Raw genomic sequence first — 17842 nt, forward strand, 5'->3', positions numbered from 1 at the left:
GATCTGACTAGTTTGGCATTGCTTTTGGGGATCTGGGAAAATCTGTGCACACTTCTGGAGACCCTTGTCAGGCCATTTTTTATAAATCTATTGTGCCTCAAGTCAGCAGTGTGTGAGGGGAGATGGGGAGACATTGGGATGCGCGCGCCTGGGGCTCTCCCACAGGGGGCTTTCGTGAGCCAGGCAGCGAGGGCCGCCCCCGCGCTGCAGCCCAGCCAGGCCGCGCCGGCAGAGGGGATCTCCCAACCTGCCCCGGCGCGCGGGGATTTCGCCTACGCCGCCCCGGCTCCTCCGGACGGGGCGCTCTCCCACCCTCAGGCTCCTCGGTGGCCTCCGCACCCGGGCAAAAGCCGGGAGGACCGGGACCCGCAGCGCGACGGCCTGCCGGGCCCCTGCGCGGTGGCACAGCCTGGGCCCGCTCAAGCGGGGCCGCAGGGCCAAGGGGTGCTTGCGCCACCCACGTCCCAGGGGAGTCCGTGGTGGGGCTGGGGCCGGGGTCCCCAGGTCGCCGGGGCGGCGTGGGAACCCCAAGCCGGGGCAGCTCCACCTCCCCAGCCCGCGCCCCCGGACGCCTCCGCGCGGCAGGGGCAGATGCAAGGCATCCCGGCGCCCTCCCAGGCGCTCCAGGAGCCGGCGCCCTGGTCTGCACTCCCCTGCGGCCTGCTGCTGGATGAGCTCCTGGCGAGCCCGGAGTTTCTGCAGCAGGCGCAACCTCTCCTAGAAACGGAGGCCCCGGGGGAGCTGGAGGCCTCGGAAGAGGCCGCCTCGCTGGAAGCACCCCTCAGCGAGGAAGAATACCGGGCTCTGCTGGAGGAGCTTTAGGACGCGGGGTTGGGACGGGGTCGGGTGGTTCGGGGCAGGGCGGTGGCCTCTCTTTCGCGGGGAACGCCTGGCTGGCTACGGAGGGGCGTGTCTCCGCCCCGCCCCCTCCACCGGGCTGACCGGCCTGGGATTCCTGCCTTCTAGGCCTAGGCCCGGTGAGAGACTCCACACAGCGGAGAACTGCCATTCTTTCCTGGGCATCCCGGGGATCCCAGAGCCGGCCCAGGTACCAGCAGGTGGGCCGCCTACTGCGCACGCGCGGGTTTGCGGGCAGCCGCCTGGGCTGTGGGAGCAGCCCGGGCAGAGCTCTCCTGCCTCTCCACCAGCCCACCCCGCCGCCTGACCGCCCCCTCCCCACCCCCACCCCCCGCCCCCGGAAAACGCGTCGTCCCCTGGGCTGGGTGGAGACCCCCGTCCCGCGAAACACCGGGCCCCGCGCAGCGTCCGGGCCTGACACCGCTCCGGCGGCTCGCCTCCTCTGCGCCCCCGCGCCACCGTCGCCCGCCCGCCCGGGCCCCTGCAGCCGCCCAGGTGCCAGCACGGAGCGCCTGGCGGCGGAACGCAGACCCCAGGCCCGGCGCACACCGGGGACGCTGAGCGTTCCAGGCGGGAGGGAAGGCGGGCAGAGATGGAGAGAGGAACGGGAGACCTAGAGGGGCGGAAGGATGGGCGGAGGGACGTTAGGAGGGAGGGAGGGAGGCAGGGAGGCAGGGAGGCAGGGAGGAACGGAGGGAAAGACAGAGCGACGCAGGGACTGGGGGCGGGCGGGAGGGAGCCGGGGACGGGGGGAGGAAGGCAGGGAGGAAAAGCGGTCTTCGGCCTCCGGGAGTAGCGGGACCCCCGCCCTCCGGGAAAACGGTCAGCGTCCGGCGCGGGCTGAGGGCTGGGCCCACAGCCGCCGCGCCGGCCGGCGGGGCACCACCCATTCGCCCCGGTTCCGGGGCCCAGGGAGTGGGCGGTTTCCTCCGGGACAAAAGACCGGGACTCGGGTTGCCGTCGGGTTTTCACCCGCGCGGTTCACAGACCGCACATCCCCAGGCTGAGCCCTGCAACGCGGCGCGAGGCCGACAGCCCCGGCCACGGAGGAGCCACACGCAGGACGACGGAGGCGTGATTTTGGTTTCCGCGTGGCTTTGCCCTCTGCAAGGCGGCCTGTTGCTCACGTCTCTCCGGCCCCCGAAAGGCTGGCCATGCCGACTGTTTGCTCCCGGAGCTCTGCGGGCACCCGGAAACATGCAGGGGAGGGTGCAAGCCCGGCACGGTGCCTTCGCTCTCCTTGCCAGGTTCCAAACCGGCCACACTGCAGACTCCCCACGTTGCCGCACGCGGGAATCCATCGTCAGGCCATCACGCCGGGGAGGCATCTCCTCTCTGGGGTCTCGCTCTGGTCTTCTACGTGGAAATGAACGAGAGCCACACGCCTGCGTGTGCGAGACCGTCCCGGCAACGGCGACGCCCACAGGCATTGCCTCCTTCACGGAGAGAGGGCCTGGCACACTCAAGACTCCCACGGAGGTTCAGTTCCACACTCCCCTCCACCCTCCCAGGCTGGTTTCTCCCTGCTGCCGACGCGTGGGAGCCCAGAGAGCGGCTTCCCGTTCCCGCGGGATCCCTGGAGAGGTCCGGAGAGCCGGCCCCCGAAACGCGCCCCCCTCCCCCCTCCCCCCTCTCCCCCTTCCTCTTCGTCTCTCCGGCCCCACCACCACCACCGCCACCACGCCCTCCCCCACCACCCCCCCCACCCCACACCACCACCACCACCACCACCACCACCACCCCGCCGGCCGGCCCCAGGCCTCGACGCCCTGGGTCCCTTCCGGGGTGGGGCGGGCTGTCCCAGGGGGGCTCACCGCCATTCATGAAGGGGTGGAGCCTGCCTGCCCGTGGGCCTTTACAAGGGCGGCTGGCTGGCTGGCTGGCTGTCCGGGCAGGCCTCCTGGCTGCACCTGCCGCAGTGCACAGTCCGGCTGAGGTGCACGGGAGCCCGCCGGCCTCTCTCTGCCCGCGTCCGTCCGTGAAATTGCGGCCGGGGCTCACCGCGATGGCCCTCCCGACACCTTCGGACAGCACCCTCCCCGCGGAAGCCCGGGGACGAGGACGGCGACGGAGACTCGTTTGGACCCCGAGCCAAAGCGAGGCCCTGCGAGCCTGCTTTGAGCGGAACCCGTACCCGGGCATCGCCACCAGAGAACGGCTGGCCCAGGCCATCGGCATTCCGGAGCCCAGGGTCCAGATTTGGTTTCAGAATGAGAGGTCACGCCAGCTGAGGCAGCACCGGCGGGAATCTCGGCCCTGGCCCGGGAGACGCGGCCCGCCAGAAGGCCGGCGAAAGCGGACCGCCGTCACCGGATCCCAGACCGCCCTGCTCCTCCGAGCCTTTGAGAAGGATCGCTTTCCAGGCATCGCCGCCCGGGAGGAGCTGGCCAGAGAGACGGGCCTCCCGGAGTCCAGGATTCAGATCTGGTTTCAGAATCGAAGGGCCAGGCACCCGGGACAGGGTGGCAGGGCGCCCGCGCAGGCAGGCGGCCTGTGCAGCGCGGCCCCCGGCGGGGGTCACCCTGCTCCCTCGTGGGTCGCCTTCGCCCACACCGGCGCGTGGGGAACGGGGCTTCCCGCACCCCACGTGCCCTGCGCGCCTGGGGCTCTCCCACAGGGGGCTTTCGTGAGCCAGGCAGCGAGGGCCGCCCCCGCGCTGCAGCCCAGCCAGGCCGCGCCGGCAGAGGGGATCTCCCAACCTGCCCCGGCGCGCGGGGATTTCGCCTACGCCGCCCCGGCTCCTCCGGACGGGGCGCTCTCCCACCCTCAGGCTCCTCGGTGGCCTCCGCACCCGGGCAAAAGCCGGGAGGACCGGGACCCGCAGCGCGACGGCCTGCCGGGCCCCTGCGCGGTGGCACAGCCTGGGCCCGCTCAAGCGGGGCCGCAGGGCCAAGGGGTGCTTGCGCCACCCACGTCCCAGGGGAGTCCGTGGTGGGGCTGGGGCCGGGGTCCCCAGGTCGCCGGGGCGGCGTGGGAACCCCAAGCCGGGGCAGCTCCACCTCCCCAGCCCGCGCCCCCGGACGCCTCCGCGCGGCAGGGGCAGATGCAAGGCATCCCGGCGCCCTCCCAGGCGCTCCAGGAGCCGGCGCCCTGGTCTGCACTCCCCTGCGGCCTGCTGCTGGATGAGCTCCTGGCGAGCCCGGAGTTTCTGCAGCAGGCGCAACCTCTCCTAGAAACGGAGGCCCCGGGGGAGCTGGAGGCCTCGGAAGAGGCCGCCTCGCTGGAAGCACCCCTCAGCGAGGAAGAATACCGGGCTCTGCTGGAGGAGCTTTAGGACGCGGGGTTGGGACGGGGTCGGGTGGTTCGGGGCAGGGCGGTGGCCTCTCTTTCGCGGGGAACGCCTGGCTGGCTACGGAGGGGCGTGTCTCCGCCCCGCCCCCTCCACCGGGCTGACCGGCCTGGGATTCCTGCCTTCTAGGCCTAGGCCCGGTGAGAGACTCCACACAGCGGAGAACTGCCATTCTTTCCTGGGCATCCCGGGGATCCCAGAGCCGGCCCAGGTACCAGCAGGTGGGCCGCCTACTGCGCACGCGCGGGTTTGCGGGCAGCCGCCTGGGCTGTGGGAGCAGCCCGGGCAGAGCTCTCCTGCCTCTCCACCAGCCCACCCCGCCGCCTGACCGCCCCCTCCCCACCCCCACCCCCCGCCCCCGGAAAACGCGTCGTCCCCTGGGCTGGGTGGAGACCCCCGTCCCGCGAAACACCGGGCCCCGCGCAGCGTCCGGGCCTGACACCGCTCCGGCGGCTCGCCTCCTCTGCGCCCCCGCGCCACCGTGGCCCGCCCGCCCGGGCCCCTGCAGCCGCCCAGGTGCCAGCACGGAGCGCCTGGAGGCGGAACGCAGACCCCAGGCCCGGCGCACACCGGGGACGCTGAGCGTTCCAGGCGGGAGGGAAGGCGGGCAGAGATGGAGAGAGGAACGGGAGACCTAGAGGGGCGGAAGGATGGGCGGAGGGACGTTAGGAGGGAGGGAGGGAGGCAGGGAGGCAGGGAGGCAGGGAGGAACGGAGGGAAAGACAGAGCGACGCAGGGACTGGGGGCGGGCGGGAGGGAGCCGGGGACGGGGGGAGGAAGGCAGGGAGGAAAAGCGGTCTTCGGCCTCCGGGAGTAGCGGGACCCCCGCCCTCCGGGAAAACGGTCAGCGTCCGGCGCGGGCTGAGGGCTGGGCCCACAGCCGCCGCGCCGGCCGGCGGGGCACCACCCATTCGCCCCGGTTCCGGGGCCCAGGGAGTGGGCGGTTTCCTCCGGGACAAAAGACCGGGACTCGGGTTGCCGTCGGGTTTTCACCCGCGCGGTTCACAGACCGCACATCCCCAGGCTGAGCCCTGCAACGCGGCGCGAGGCCGACAGCCCCGGCCACGGAGGAGCCACACGCAGGACGACGGAGGCGTGATTTTGGTTTCCGCGTGGCTTTGCCCTCTGCAAGGCGGCCTGTTGCTCACGTCTCTCCGGCCCCCGAAAGGCTGGCCATGCCGACTGTTTGCTCCCGGAGCTCTGCGGGCACCCGGAAACATGCAGGGGAGGGTGCAAGCCCGGCACGGTGCCTTCGCTCTCCTTGCCAGGTTCCAAACCGGCCACACTGCAGACTCCCCACGTTGCCGCACGCGGGAATCCATCGTCAGGCCATCACGCCGGGGAGGCATCTCCTCTCTGGGGTCTCGCTCTGGTCTTCTACGTGGAAATGAACGAGAGCCACACGCCTGCGTGTGCGAGACCGTCCCGGCAACGGCGACGCCCACAGGCATTGCCTCCTTCACGGAGAGAGGGCCTGGCACACTCAAGACTCCCACGGAGGTTCAGTTCCACACTCCCCTCCACCCTCCCAGGCTGGTTTCTCCCTGCTGCCGACGCGTGGGAGCCCAGAGAGCGGCTTCCCGTTCCCGCGGGATCCCTGGAGAGGTCCGGAGAGCCGGCCCCCGAAACGCGCCCCCCTCCCCCCTCCCCCCTCTCCCCCTTCCTCTTCGTCTCTCCGGCCCCACCACCACCACCGCCACCACGCCCTCCCCCACCACCCCCCCCACCCCACACCACCACCACCACCACCACCACCACCACCCCGCCGGCCGGCCCCAGGCCTCGACGCCCTGGGTCCCTTCCGGGGTGGGGCGGGCTGTCCCAGGGGGGCTCACCGCCATTCATGAAGGGGTGGAGCCTGCCTGCCCGTGGGCCTTTACAAGGGCGGCTGGCTGGCTGGCTGGCTGTCCGGGCAGGCCTCCTGGCTGCACCTGCCGCAGTGCACAGTCCGGCTGAGGTGCACGGGAGCCCGCCGGCCTCTCTCTGCCCGCGTCCGTCCGTGAAATTGCGGCCGGGGCTCACCGCGATGGCCCTCCCGACACCTTCGGACAGCACCCTCCCCGCGGAAGCCCGGGGACGAGGACGGCGACGGAGACTCGTTTGGACCCCGAGCCAAAGCGAGGCCCTGCGAGCCTGCTTTGAGCGGAACCCGTACCCGGGCATCGCCACCAGAGAACGGCTGGCCCAGGCCATCGGCATTCCGGAGCCCAGGGTCCAGATTTGGTTTCAGAATGAGAGGTCACGCCAGCTGAGGCAGCACCGGCGGGAATCTCGGCCCTGGCCCGGGAGACGCGGCCCGCCAGAAGGCCGGCGAAAGCGGACCGCCGTCACCGGATCCCAGACCGCCCTGCTCCTCCGAGCCTTTGAGAAGGATCGCTTTCCAGGCATCGCCGCCCGGGAGGAGCTGGCCAGAGAGACGGGCCTCCCGGAGTCCAGGATTCAGATCTGGTTTCAGAATCGAAGGGCCAGGCACCCGGGACAGGGTGGCAGGGCGCCCGCGCAGGCAGGCGGCCTGTGCAGCGCGGCCCCCGGCGGGGGTCACCCTGCTCCCTCGTGGGTCGCCTTCGCCCACACCGGCGCGTGGGGAACGGGGCTTCCCGCACCCCACGTGCCCTGCGCGCCTGGGGCTCTCCCACAGGGGGCTTTCGTGAGCCAGGCAGCGAGGGCCGCCCCCGCGCTGCAGCCCAGCCAGGCCGCGCCGGCAGAGGGGATCTCCCAACCTGCCCCGGCGCGCGGGGATTTCGCCTACGCCGCCCCGGCTCCTCCGGACGGGGCGCTCTCCCACCCTCAGGCTCCTCGGTGGCCTCCGCACCCGGGCAAAAGCCGGGAGGACCGGGACCCGCAGCGCGACGGCCTGCCGGGCCCCTGCGCGGTGGCACAGCCTGGGCCCGCTCAAGCGGGGCCGCAGGGCCAAGGGGTGCTTGCGCCACCCACGTCCCAGGGGAGTCCGTGGTGGGGCTGGGGCCGGGGTCCCCAGGTCGCCGGGGCGGCGTGGGAACCCCAAGCCGGGGCAGCTCCACCTCCCCAGCCCGCGCCCCCGGACGCCTCCGCGCGGCAGGGGCAGATGCAAGGCATCCCGGCGCCCTCCCAGGCGCTCCAGGAGCCGGCGCCCTGGTCTGCACTCCCCTGCGGCCTGCTGCTGGATGAGCTCCTGGCGAGCCCGGAGTTTCTGCAGCAGGCGCAACCTCTCCTAGAAACGGAGGCCCCGGGGGAGCTGGAGGCCTCGGAAGAGGCCGCCTCGCTGGAAGCACCCCTCAGCGAGGAAGAATACCGGGCTCTGCTGGAGGAGCTTTAGGACGCGGGGTTGGGACGGGGTCGGGTGGTTCGGGGCAGGGCGGTGGCCTCTCTTTCGCGGGGAACGCCTGGCTGGCTACGGAGGGGCGTGTCTCCGCCCCGCCCCCTCCACCGGGCTGACCGGCCTGGGATTCCTGCCTTCTAGGCCTAGGCCCGGTGAGAGACTCCACACAGCGGAGAACTGCCATTCTTTCCTGGGCATCCCGGGGATCCCAGAGCCGGCCCAGGTACCAGCAGGTGGGCCGCCTACTGCGCACGCGCGGGTTTGCGGGCAGCCGCCTGGGCTGTGGGAGCAGCCCGGGCAGAGCTCTCCTGCCTCTCCACCAGCCCACCCCGCCGCCTGACCGCCCCCTCCCCACCCCCACCCCCCGCCCCCGGAAAACGCGTCGTCCCCTGGGCTGGGTGGAGACCCCCGTCCCGCGAAACACCGGGCCCCGCGCAGCGTCCGGGCCTGACACCGCTCCGGCGGCTCGCCTCCTCTGCGCCCCCGCGCCACCGTCGCCCGCCCGCCCGGGCCCCTGCAGCCGCCCAGTGCCAGCACGGAGCGCCTGGCGGCGGAACGCAGACCCCAGGCCCGGCGCACACCGGGGACGCTGAGCGTTCCAGGCGGGAGGGAAGGCGGGCAGAGATGGAGAGAGGAACGGGAGACCTAGAGGGGCGGAAGGATGGGCGGAGGGACGTTAGGAGGGAGGGAGGGAGGCAGGGAGGCAGGGAGGCAGGGAGGAACGGAGGGAAAGACAGAGCGACGCAGGGACTGGGGGCGGGCGGGAGGGAGCCGGGGACGGGGGGAGGAAGGCAGGGAGGAAAAGCGGTCTTCGGCCTCCGGGAGTAGCGGGACCCCCGCCCTCCGGGAAAACGGTCAGCGTCCGGCGCGGGCTGAGGGCTGGGCCCACAGCCGCCGCGCCGGCCGGCGGGGCACCACCCATTCGCCCCGGTTCCGGGGCCCAGGGAGTGGGCGGTTTCCTCCGGGACAAAAGACCGGGACTCGGGTTGCCGTCGGGTTTTCACCCGCGCGGTTCACAGACCGCACATCCCCAGGCTGAGCCCTGCAACGCGGCGCGAGGCCGACAGCCCCGGCCACGGAGGAGCCACACGCAGGACGACGGAGGCGTGATTTTGGTTTCCGCGTGGCTTTGCCCTCTGCAAGGCGGCCTGTTGCTCACGTCTCTCCGGCCCCCGAAAGGCTGGCCATGCCGACTGTTTGCTCCCGGAGCTCTGCGGGCACCCGGAAACATGCAGGGGAGGGTGCAAGCCCGGCACGGTGCCTTCGCTCTCCTTGCCAGGTTCCAAACCGGCCACACTGCAGACTCCCCACGTTGCCGCACGCGGGAATCCATCGTCAGGCCATCACGCCGGGGAGGCATCTCCTCTCTGGGGTCTCGCTCTGGTCTTCTACGTGGAAATGAACGAGAGCCACACGCCTGCGTGTGCGAGACCGTCCCGGCAACGGCGACGCCCACAGGCATTGCCTCCTTCACGGAGAGAGGGCCTGGCACACTCAAGACTCCCACGGAGGTTCAGTTCCACACTCCCCTCCACCCTCCCAGGCTGGTTTCTCCCTGCTGCCGACGCGTGGGAGCCCAGAGAGCGGCTTCCCGTTCCCGCGGGATCCCTGGAGAGGTCCGGAGAGCCGGCCCCCGAAACGCGCCCCCCTCCCCCCTCCCCCCTCTCCCCCTTCCTCTTCGTCTCTCCGGCCCCACCACCACCACCGCCACCACGCCCTCCCCCACCACCCCCCCCACCCCACACCACCACCACCACCACCACCACCACCACCCCGCCGGCCGGCCCCAGGCCTCGACGCCCTGGGTCCCTTCCGGGGTGGGGCGGGCTGTCCCAGGGGGGCTCACCGCCATTCATGAAGGGGTGGAGCCTGCCTGCCCGTGGGCCTTTACAAGGGCGGCTGGCTGGCTGGCTGGCTGTCCGGGCAGGCCTCCTGGCTGCACCTGCCGCAGTGCACAGTCCGGCTGAGGTGCACGGGAGCCCGCCGGCCTCTCTCTGCCCGCGTCCGTCCGTGAAATTGCGGCCGGGGCTCACCGCGATGGCCCTCCCGACACCTTCGGACAGCACCCTCCCCGCGGAAGCCCGGGGACGAGGACGGCGACGGAGACTCGTTTGGACCCCGAGCCAAAGCGAGGCCCTGCGAGCCTGCTTTGAGCGGAACCCGTACCCGGGCATCGCCACCAGAGAACGGCTGGCCCAGGCCATCGGCATTCCGGAGCCCAGGGTCCAGATTTGGTTTCAGAATGAGAGGTCACGCCAGCTGAGGCAGCACCGGCGGGAATCTCGGCCCTGGCCCGGGAGACGCGGCCCGCCAGAAGGCCGGCGAAAGCGGACCGCCGTCACCGGATTCCAGACCGCCCTGCTCCTCCGAGCCTTTGAGAAGGATCGCTTTCCAGGCATCGCCGCCCGGGAGGAGCTGGCCAGAGAGACGGGCCTCCCGGAGTCCAGGATTCAGATCTGGTTTCAGAATCGAAGGGCCAGGCACCCGGGACAGGGTGGCAGGGCGCCCGCGCAGGCAGGCGGCCTGTGCAGCGCGGCCCCCGGCGGGGGTCACCCTGCTCCCTCGTGGGTCGCCTTCGCCCACACCGGCGCGTGGGGAACGGGGCTTCCCGCACCCCACGTGCCCTGCGCGCCTGGGGCTCTCCCACAGGGGGCTTTCGTGAGCCAGGCAGCGAGGGCCGCCCCCGCGCTGCAGCCCAGCCAGGCCGCGCCGGCAGAGGGGATCTCCCAACCTGCCCCGGCGCGCGGGGATTTCGCCTACGCCGCCCCGGCTCCTCCGGACGGGGCGCTCTCCCACCCTCAGGCTCCTCGGTGGCCTCCGCACCCGGGCAAAAGCCGGGAGGACCGGGACCCGCAGCGCGACGGCCTGCCGGGCCCCTGCGCGGTGGCACAGCCTGGGCCCGCTCAAGCGGGGCCGCAGGGCCAAGGGGTGCTTGCGCCACCCACGTCCCAGGGGAGTCCGTGGTGGGGCTGGGGCCGGGGTCCCCAGGTCGCCGGGGCGGCGTGGGAACCCCAAGCCGGGGCAGCTCCACCTCCCCAGCCCGCGCCCCCGGACGCCTCCGCGCGGCAGGGGCAGATGCAAGGCATCCCGGCGCCCTCCCAGGCGCTCCAGGAGCCGGCGCCCTGGTCTGCACTCCCCTGCGGCCTGCTGCTGGATGAGCTCCTGGCGAGCCCGGAGTTTCTGCAGCAGGCGCAACCTCTCCTAGAAACGGAGGCCCCGGGGGAGCTGGAGGCCTCGGAAGAGGCCGCCTCGCTGGAAGCACCCCTCAGCGAGGAAGAATACCGGGCTCTGCTGGAGGAGCTTTAGGACGCGGGGTTGGGACGGGGTCGGGTGGTTCGGGGCAGGGCGGTGGCCTCTCTTTCGCGGGGAACGCCTGGCTGGCTACGGAGGGGCGTGTCTCCGCCCCGCCCCCTCCACCGGGCTGACCGGCCTGGGATTCCTGCCTTCTAGGCCTAGGCCCGGTGAGAGACTCCACACAGCGGAGAACTGCCATTCTTTCCTGGGCATCCCGGGGATCCCAGAGCCGGCCCAGGTACCAGCAGGTGGGCCGCCTACTGCGCACGCGCGGGTTTGCGGGCAGCCGCCTGGGCTGTGGGAGCAGCCCGGGCAGAGCTCTCCTGCCTCTCCACCAGCCCACCCCACCGCCTGACCGCCCCCTCCCCACCCCCACCCCCCGCCCCCGGAAAACGCGTCGTCCCCTGGGCTGGGTGGAGACCCCCGTCCCGCGAAACACCGGGCCCCGCGCAGCGTCCGGGCCTGACACCGCTCCGGCGGCTCGCCTCCTCTGCGCCCCCGCGCCACCGTGGCCCGCCCGCCCGGGCCCCTGCAGCCGCCCAGGTGCCAGCACGGAGCGCCTGGAGGCGGAACGCAGACCCCAGGCCCGGCGCACACCGGGGACGCTGAGCGTTCCAGGCGGGAGGGAAGGCGGGCAGAGATGGAGAGAGGAACGGGAGACCTAGAGGGGCGGAAGGATGGGCGGAGGGACGTTAGGAGGGAGGGAGGGAGGCAGGGAGGCAGGGAGGCAGGGAGGAACGGAGGGAAAGACAGAGCGACGCAGGGACTGGGGGCGGGCGGGAGGGAGCCGGGGACGGGGGGAGGAAGGCAGGGAGGAAAAGCGGTCTTCGGCCTCCGGGAGTAGCGGGACCCCCGCCCTCCGGGAAAACGGTCAGCGTCCGGCGCGGGCTGAGGGCTGGGCCCACAGCCGCCGCGCCGGCCGGCGGGGCACCACCCATTCGCCCCGGTTCCGGGGCCCAGGGAGTGGGCGGTTTCCTCCGGGACAAAAGACCGGGACTCGGGTTGCCGTCGGGTTTTCACCCGCGCGGTTCACAGACCGCACATCCCCAGGCTGAGCCCTGCAACGCGGCGCGAGGCCGACAGCCCCGGCCACGGAGGAGCCACACGCAGGACGACGGAGGCGTGATTTTGGTTTCCGCGTGGCTTTGCCCTCTGCAAGGCGGCCTGTTGCTCACGTCTCTCCGGCCCCCGAAAGGCTGGCCATGCCGACTGTTTGCTCCCGGAGCTCTGCGGGCACCCGGAAACATGCAGGGGAGGGTGCAAGCCCGGCACGGTGCCTTCGCTCTCCTTGCCAGGTTCCAAACCGGCCACACTGCAGACTCCCCACGTTGCCGCACGCGGGAATCCATCGTCAGGCCATCACGCCGGGGAGGCATCTCCTCTCTGGGGTCTCGCTCTGGTCTTCTACGTGGAAATGAACGAGAGCCACACGCCTGCGTGTGCGAGACCGTCCCGGCAACGGCGACGCCCACAGGCATTGCCTCCTTCACGGAGAGAGGGCCTGGCACACTCAAGACTCCCACGGAGGTTCAGTTCCACACTCCCCTCCACCCTCCCAGGCTGGTTTCTCCCTGCTGCCGACGCGTGGGAGCCCAGAGAGCGGCTTCCCGTTCCCGCGGGATCCCTGGAGAGGTCCGGAGAGCCGGCCCCCGAAACGCGCCCCCCTCCCCCCTCCCCCCTCTCCACCTTCCTCTTCGTCTCTCCGGCCCCACCACCACCACCGCCACCACGCCCTCCCCCACCACCACCCCCCCCCCACCACCACCACCACCACCACCCCGCCGGCCGGCCCCAGGCCTCGACGCCCTGGGTCCCTTCCGGGGTGGGGCGGGCTGTCCCAGGGGGGCTCACCGCCATTCATGAAGGGGTGGAGCCTGCCTGCCCGTGGGCCTTTACAAGGGCGGCTGGCTGGCTGGCTGGCTGTCCGGGCAGGCCTCCTGGCTGCACCTGCCGCAGTGCACAGTCCGGCTGAGGTGCACGGGAGCCCGCCGGCCTCTCTCTGCCCGCGTCCGTCCGTGAAATTGCGGCCGGGGCTCACCGCGATGGCCCTCCCGACACCTTCGGACAGCACCCTCCCCGCGGAAGCCCGGGGACGAGGACGGCGACGGAGACTCGTTTGGACCCCGAGCCAAAGCGAGGCCCTGCGAGCCTGCTTTGAGCGGAACCCGTACCCGGGCATCGCCACCAGAGAACGGCTGGCCCAGGCCATCGGCATTCCGGAGCCCAGGGTCCAGATTTGGTTTCAGAATGAGAGGTCACGCCAGCTGAGGCAGCACCGGCGGGAATCTCGGCCCTGGCCCGGGAGACGCGGCCCGCCAGAAGGCCGGCGAAAGCGGACCGCCGTCACCGGATCCCAGACCGCCCTGCTCCTCCGAGCCTTTGAGAAGGATCGCTTTCCAGGCATCGCCGCCCGGGAGGAGCTGGCCAGAGAGACGGGCCTCCCGGAGTCCAGGATTCAGATCTGGTTTCAGAATCGAAGGGCCAGGCACCCGGGACAGGGTGGCAGGGCGCCCGCGCAGGCAGGCGGCCTGTGCAACGCGGCCCCCGGCGGGGGTCACCCTGCTCCCTCGTGGGTCGCCTTCGCCCACACCGGCGCGTGGGGAACGGGGCTTCCCGCACCCCACGTGCCCTGCGCGCCTGGGGCTCTCCCACAGGGGGCTTTCGTGAGCCAGGCAGCGAGGGCCGCCCCCGCGCTGCAGCCCAGCCAGGCCGCGCCGGCAGAGGGGATCTCCCAACCTGCCCCGGCGCGCGGGGATTTCGCCTACGCCGCCCCGGCTCCTCCGGACGGGGCGCTCTCCCACCCTCAGGCTCCTCGGTGGCCTCCGCACCCGGGCAAAAGCCGGGAGGACCGGGACCCGCAGCGCGACGGCCTGCCGGGCCCCTGCGCGGTGGCACAGCCTGGGCCCGCTCAAGCGGGGCCGCAGGGCCAAGGGGTGCTTGCGCCACCCACGTCCCAGGGGAGTCCGTGGTGGGGCTGGGGCCGGGGTCCCCAGGTCGCCGGGGCGGCGTGGGAACCCCAAGCCGGGGCAGCTCCACCTCCCCAGCCCGCGCCCCCGGACGCCTCCGCGCGGCAGGGGCAGATGCAAGGCATCCCGGCGCCCTCCCAGGCGCTCCAGGAGCCGGCGCCCTGGTCTGCACTCCCCTGCGGCCTGCTGCTGGATGAGCTCCTGGCGAGCCCGGAGTTTCTGCAGCAGGCGCAACCTCTCCTAGAAACGGAGGCCCCGGGGGAGCTGGAGGCCTCGGAAGAGGCCGCCTCGCTGGAAGCACCCCTCAGCGAGGAAGAATACCGGGCTCTGCTGGAGGAGCTTTAGGACGCGGGGTTGGGACGGGGTCGGGTGGTTCGGGGCAGGGCGGTGGCCTCTCTTTCGCGGGGAACGCCTGGCTGGCTACGGAGGGGCGTGTCTCCGCCCCGCCCCCTCCACCGGGCTGACCGGCCTGGGATTCCTGCCTTCTAGGCCTAGGCCCGGTGAGAGACTCCACACAGCGGAGAACTGCCATTCTTTCCTGGGCATCCCGGGGATCCCAGAGCCGGCCCAGGTACCAGCAGGTGGGCCGCCTACTGCGCACGCGCGGGTTTGCGGGCAGCCGCCTGGGCTGTGGGAGCAGCCCGGGCAGAGCTCTCCTGCCTCTCCACCAGCCCACCCCGCCGCCTGACCGCCCCCTCCCCACCCCCACCCCCCGCCCCCGGAAAACGCGTCGTCCCCTGGGCTGGGTGGAGACCCCCGTCCCGCGAAACACCGGGCCCCGCGCAGCGTCCGGGCCTGACACCGCTCCGGCGGCTCGCCTCCTCTGCGCCCCCGCGCCACCGTCGCCCGCCCGCCCGGGCCCCTGCAGCCGCCCAGGTGCCAGCACGGAGCGCCTGGCGGCGGAACGCAGACCCCAGGCCCGGCGCACACCGGGGACGCTGAGCGTTCCAGGCGGGAGGGAAGGCGGGCAGAGATGGAGAGAGGAACGGGAGACCTAGAGGGGCGGAAGGATGGGCGGAGGGACGTTAGGAGGGAGGGAGGGAGGCAGGGAGGCAGGGAGGCAGGGAGGAACGGAGGGAAAGACAGAGCGACGCAGGGACTGGGGGCGGGCGGGAGGGAGCCGGGGACGGGGGGAGGAAGGCAGGGAGGAAAAGCGGTCTTCGGCCTCCGGGAGTAGCGGGACCCCCGCCCTCCGGGAAAACGGTCAGCGTCCGGCGCGGGCTGAGGGCTGGGCCCACAGCCGCCGCGCCGGCCGGCGGGGCACCACCCATTCGCCCCGGTTCCGGGGCCCAGGGAGTGGGCGGTTTCCTCCGGGACAAAAGACCGGGACTCGGGTTGCCGTCGGGTTTTCACCCGCGCGGTTCACAGACCGCACATCCCCAGGCTGAGCCCTGCAACGCGGCGCGAGGCCGACAGCCCCGGCCACGGAGGAGCCACACGCAGGACGACGGAGGCGTGATTTTGGTTTCCGCGTGGCTTTGCCCTCTGCAAGGCGGCCTGTTGCTCACGTCTCTCCGGCCCCCGAAAGGCTGGCCATGCCGACTGTTTGCTCCCGGAGCTCTGCGGGCACCCGGAAACATGCAGGGGAGGGTGCAAGCCCGGCACGGTGCCTTCGCTCTCCTTGCCAGGTTCCAAACCGGCCACACTGCAGACTCCCCACGTTGCCGCACGCGGGAATCCATCGTCAGGCCATCACGCCGGGGAGGCATCTCCTCTCTGGGGTCTCGCTCTGGTCTTCTACGTGGAAATGAACGAGAGCCACACGCCTGCGTGTGCGAGACCGTCCCGGCAACGGCGACGCCCACAGGCATTGCCTCCTTCACGGAGAGAGGGCCTGGCACACTCAAGACTCCCACGGAGGTTCAGTTCCACACTCCCCTCCACCCTCCCAGGCTGGTTTCTCCCTGCTGCCGACGCGTGGGAGCCCAGAGAGCGGCTTCCCGTTCCCGCGGGATCCCTGGAGAGGTCCGGAGAGCCGGCCCCCGAAACGCGCCCCCCTCCCCCCTCCCCCCTCTCCCCCTTCCTCTTCGTCTCTCCGGCCCCACCACCACCACCGCCACCACGCCCTCCCCCACCACCCCCCCCACCCCACACCACCACCACCACCACCACCACCACCACCCCGCCGGCCGGCCCCAGGCCTCGACGCCCTGGGTCCCTTCCGGGGTGGGGCGGGCTGTCCCAGGGGGGCTCACCGCCATTCATGAAGGGGTGGAGCCTGCCTGCCCGTGGGCCTTTACAAGGGCGGCTGGCTGGCTGGCTGGCTGTCCGGGCAGGCCTCCTGGCTGCACCTGCCGCAGTGCACAGTCCGGCTGAGGTGCACGGGAGCCCGCCGGCCTCTCTCTGCCCGCGTCCGTCCGTGAAATTGCGGCCGGGGCTCACCGCGATGGCCCTCCCGACACCTTCGGACAGCACCCTCCCCGCGGAAGCCCGGGGACGAGGACGGCGACGGAGACTCGTTTGGACCCCGAGCCAAAGCGAGGCCCTGCGAGCCTGCTTTGAGCGGAACCCGTACCCGGGCATCGCCACCAGAGAACGGCTGGCCCAGGCCATCGGCATTCCGGAGCCCAGGGTCCAGATTTGGTTTCAGAATGAGAGGTCACGCCAGCTGAGGCAGCACCGGCGGGAATCTCGGCCCTGGCCCGGGAGACGCGGCCCGCCAGAAGGCCGGCGAAAGCGGACCGCCGTCACCGGATCCCAGACCGCCCTGCTCCTCCGAGCCTTTGAGAAGGATCGCTTTCCAGGCATCGCCGCCCGGGAGGAGCTGGCCAGAGAGACGGGCCTCCCGGAGTCCAGGATTCAGATCTGGTTTCAGAATCGAAGGGCCAGGCACCCGGGACAGGGTGGCAGGGCGCCCGCGCAGGCAGGCGGCCTGTGCAGCGCGGCCCCCGGCGGGGGTCACCCTGCTCCCTCGTGGGTCGCCTTCGCCCACACCGGCGCGTGGGGAACGGGGCTTCCCGCACCCCACGTGCCCTGCGCGCCTGGGGCTCTCCCACAGGGGGCTTTCGTGAGCCAGGCAGCGAGGGCCGCCCCCGCGCTGCAGCCCAGCCAGGCCGCGCCGGCAGAGGGGATCTCCCAACCTGCCCCGGCGCGCGGGGATTTCGCCTACGCCGCCCCGGCTCCTCCGGACGGGGCGCTCTCCCACCCTCAGGCTCCTCGGTGGCCTCCGCACCCGGGCAAAAGCCGGGAGGACCGGGACCCGCAGCGCGACGGCCTGCCGGGCCCCTGCGCGGTGGCACAGCCTGGGCCCGCTCAAGCGGGGCCGCAGGGCCAAGGGGTGCTTGCGCCACCCACGTCCCAGGGGAGTCCGTGGTGGGGCTGGGGCCGGGGTCCCCAGGTCGCCGGGGCGGCGTGGGAACCCCAAGCCGGGGCAGCTCCACCTCCCCAGCCCGCGCCCCCGGACGCCTCCGCGCGGCAGGGGCAGATGCAAGGCATCCCGGCGCCCTCCCAGGCGCTCCAGGAGCCGGCGCCCTGGTCTGCACTCCCCTGCGGCCTGCTGCTGGATGAGCTCCTGGCGAGCCCGGAGTTTCTGCAGCAGGCGCAACCTCTCCTAGAAACGGAGGCCCCGGGGGAGCTGGAGGCCTCGGAAGAGGCCGCCTCGCTGGAAGCACCCCTCAGCGAGGAAGAATACCGGGCTCTGCTGGAGGAGCTTTAGGACGCGGGGTTGGGACGGGGTCGGGTGGTTCGGGGCAGGGCGGTGGCCTCTCTTTCGCGGGGAACGCCTGGCTGGCTACGGAGGGGCGTGTCTCCGCCCCGCCCCCTCCACCGGGCTGACCGGCCTGGGATTCCTGCCTTCTAGGCCTAGGCCCGGTGAGAGACTCCACACAGCGGAGAACTGCCATTCTTTCCTGGGCATCCCGGGGATCCCAGAGCCGGCCCAGGTACCAGCAGGTGGGCCGCCTACTGCGCACGCGCGGGTTTGCGGGCAGCCGCCTGGGCTGTGGGAGCAGCCCGGGCAGAGCTCTCCTGCCTCTCCACCAGCCCACCCCGCCGCCTGACCGCCCCCTCCCCACCCCCACCCCCCGCCCCCGGAAAACGCGTCGTCCCCTGGGCTGGGTGGAGACCCCCGTCCCGCGAAACACCGGGCCCCGCGCAGCGTCCGGGCCTGACACCGCTCCGGCGGCTCGCCTCCTCTGC

General features: G+C 72.4%; 6 pseudogenes, besides 2 other annotated features; all 6 read left to right on the plus strand.

Moving 5' to 3' along the window:
• DUX4L29 (double homeobox 4 like 29 (pseudogene)) lies at nt 140–818 on the plus strand (annotated as a pseudogene).
• Nucleotides 2864–4142, plus strand: DUX4L10 (double homeobox 4 like 10 (pseudogene); annotated as a pseudogene).
• Nucleotides 6174–7452, plus strand: DUX4L11 (double homeobox 4 like 11 (pseudogene); annotated as a pseudogene).
• DUX4L12 (double homeobox 4 like 12 (pseudogene)) lies at nt 9483–10761 on the plus strand (annotated as a pseudogene).
• Nucleotides 12782–14060, plus strand: DUX4L13 (double homeobox 4 like 13 (pseudogene); annotated as a pseudogene).
• Nucleotides 12940–13441: an enhancer, noted in NCBI's record as "H3K4me1 hESC enhancer chr10:135490731-135491232 (GRCh37/hg19 assembly coordinates)". NCBI's record gives its function as "activates a minimal SCP1, AML or CMV promoter by ChIP-STARR-seq in naive and primed H9 embryonic stem cells {active_cell/tissue: H9 hESC(naive and primed)}" and the evidence as "EXISTENCE:reporter gene assay evidence [ECO:0000049][PMID:30033119]".
• Nucleotides 13442–13941: an enhancer, noted in NCBI's record as "H3K4me1 hESC enhancer chr10:135491233-135491732 (GRCh37/hg19 assembly coordinates)". NCBI's record gives its function as "activates a minimal SCP1, AML or CMV promoter by ChIP-STARR-seq in primed H9 embryonic stem cells {active_cell/tissue: H9 hESC(primed)}" and the evidence as "EXISTENCE:reporter gene assay evidence [ECO:0000049][PMID:30033119]".
• On the plus strand, nt 16092–17370 carry DUX4L14 (double homeobox 4 like 14 (pseudogene); annotated as a pseudogene).

This window comes from Homo sapiens, chromosome 10 (assembly GCF_000001405.40).
Source record: "Homo sapiens chromosome 10, GRCh38.p14 Primary Assembly".
In the NCBI taxonomy this organism is placed as follows: domain Eukaryota; kingdom Metazoa; phylum Chordata; class Mammalia; order Primates; family Hominidae; genus Homo; species Homo sapiens.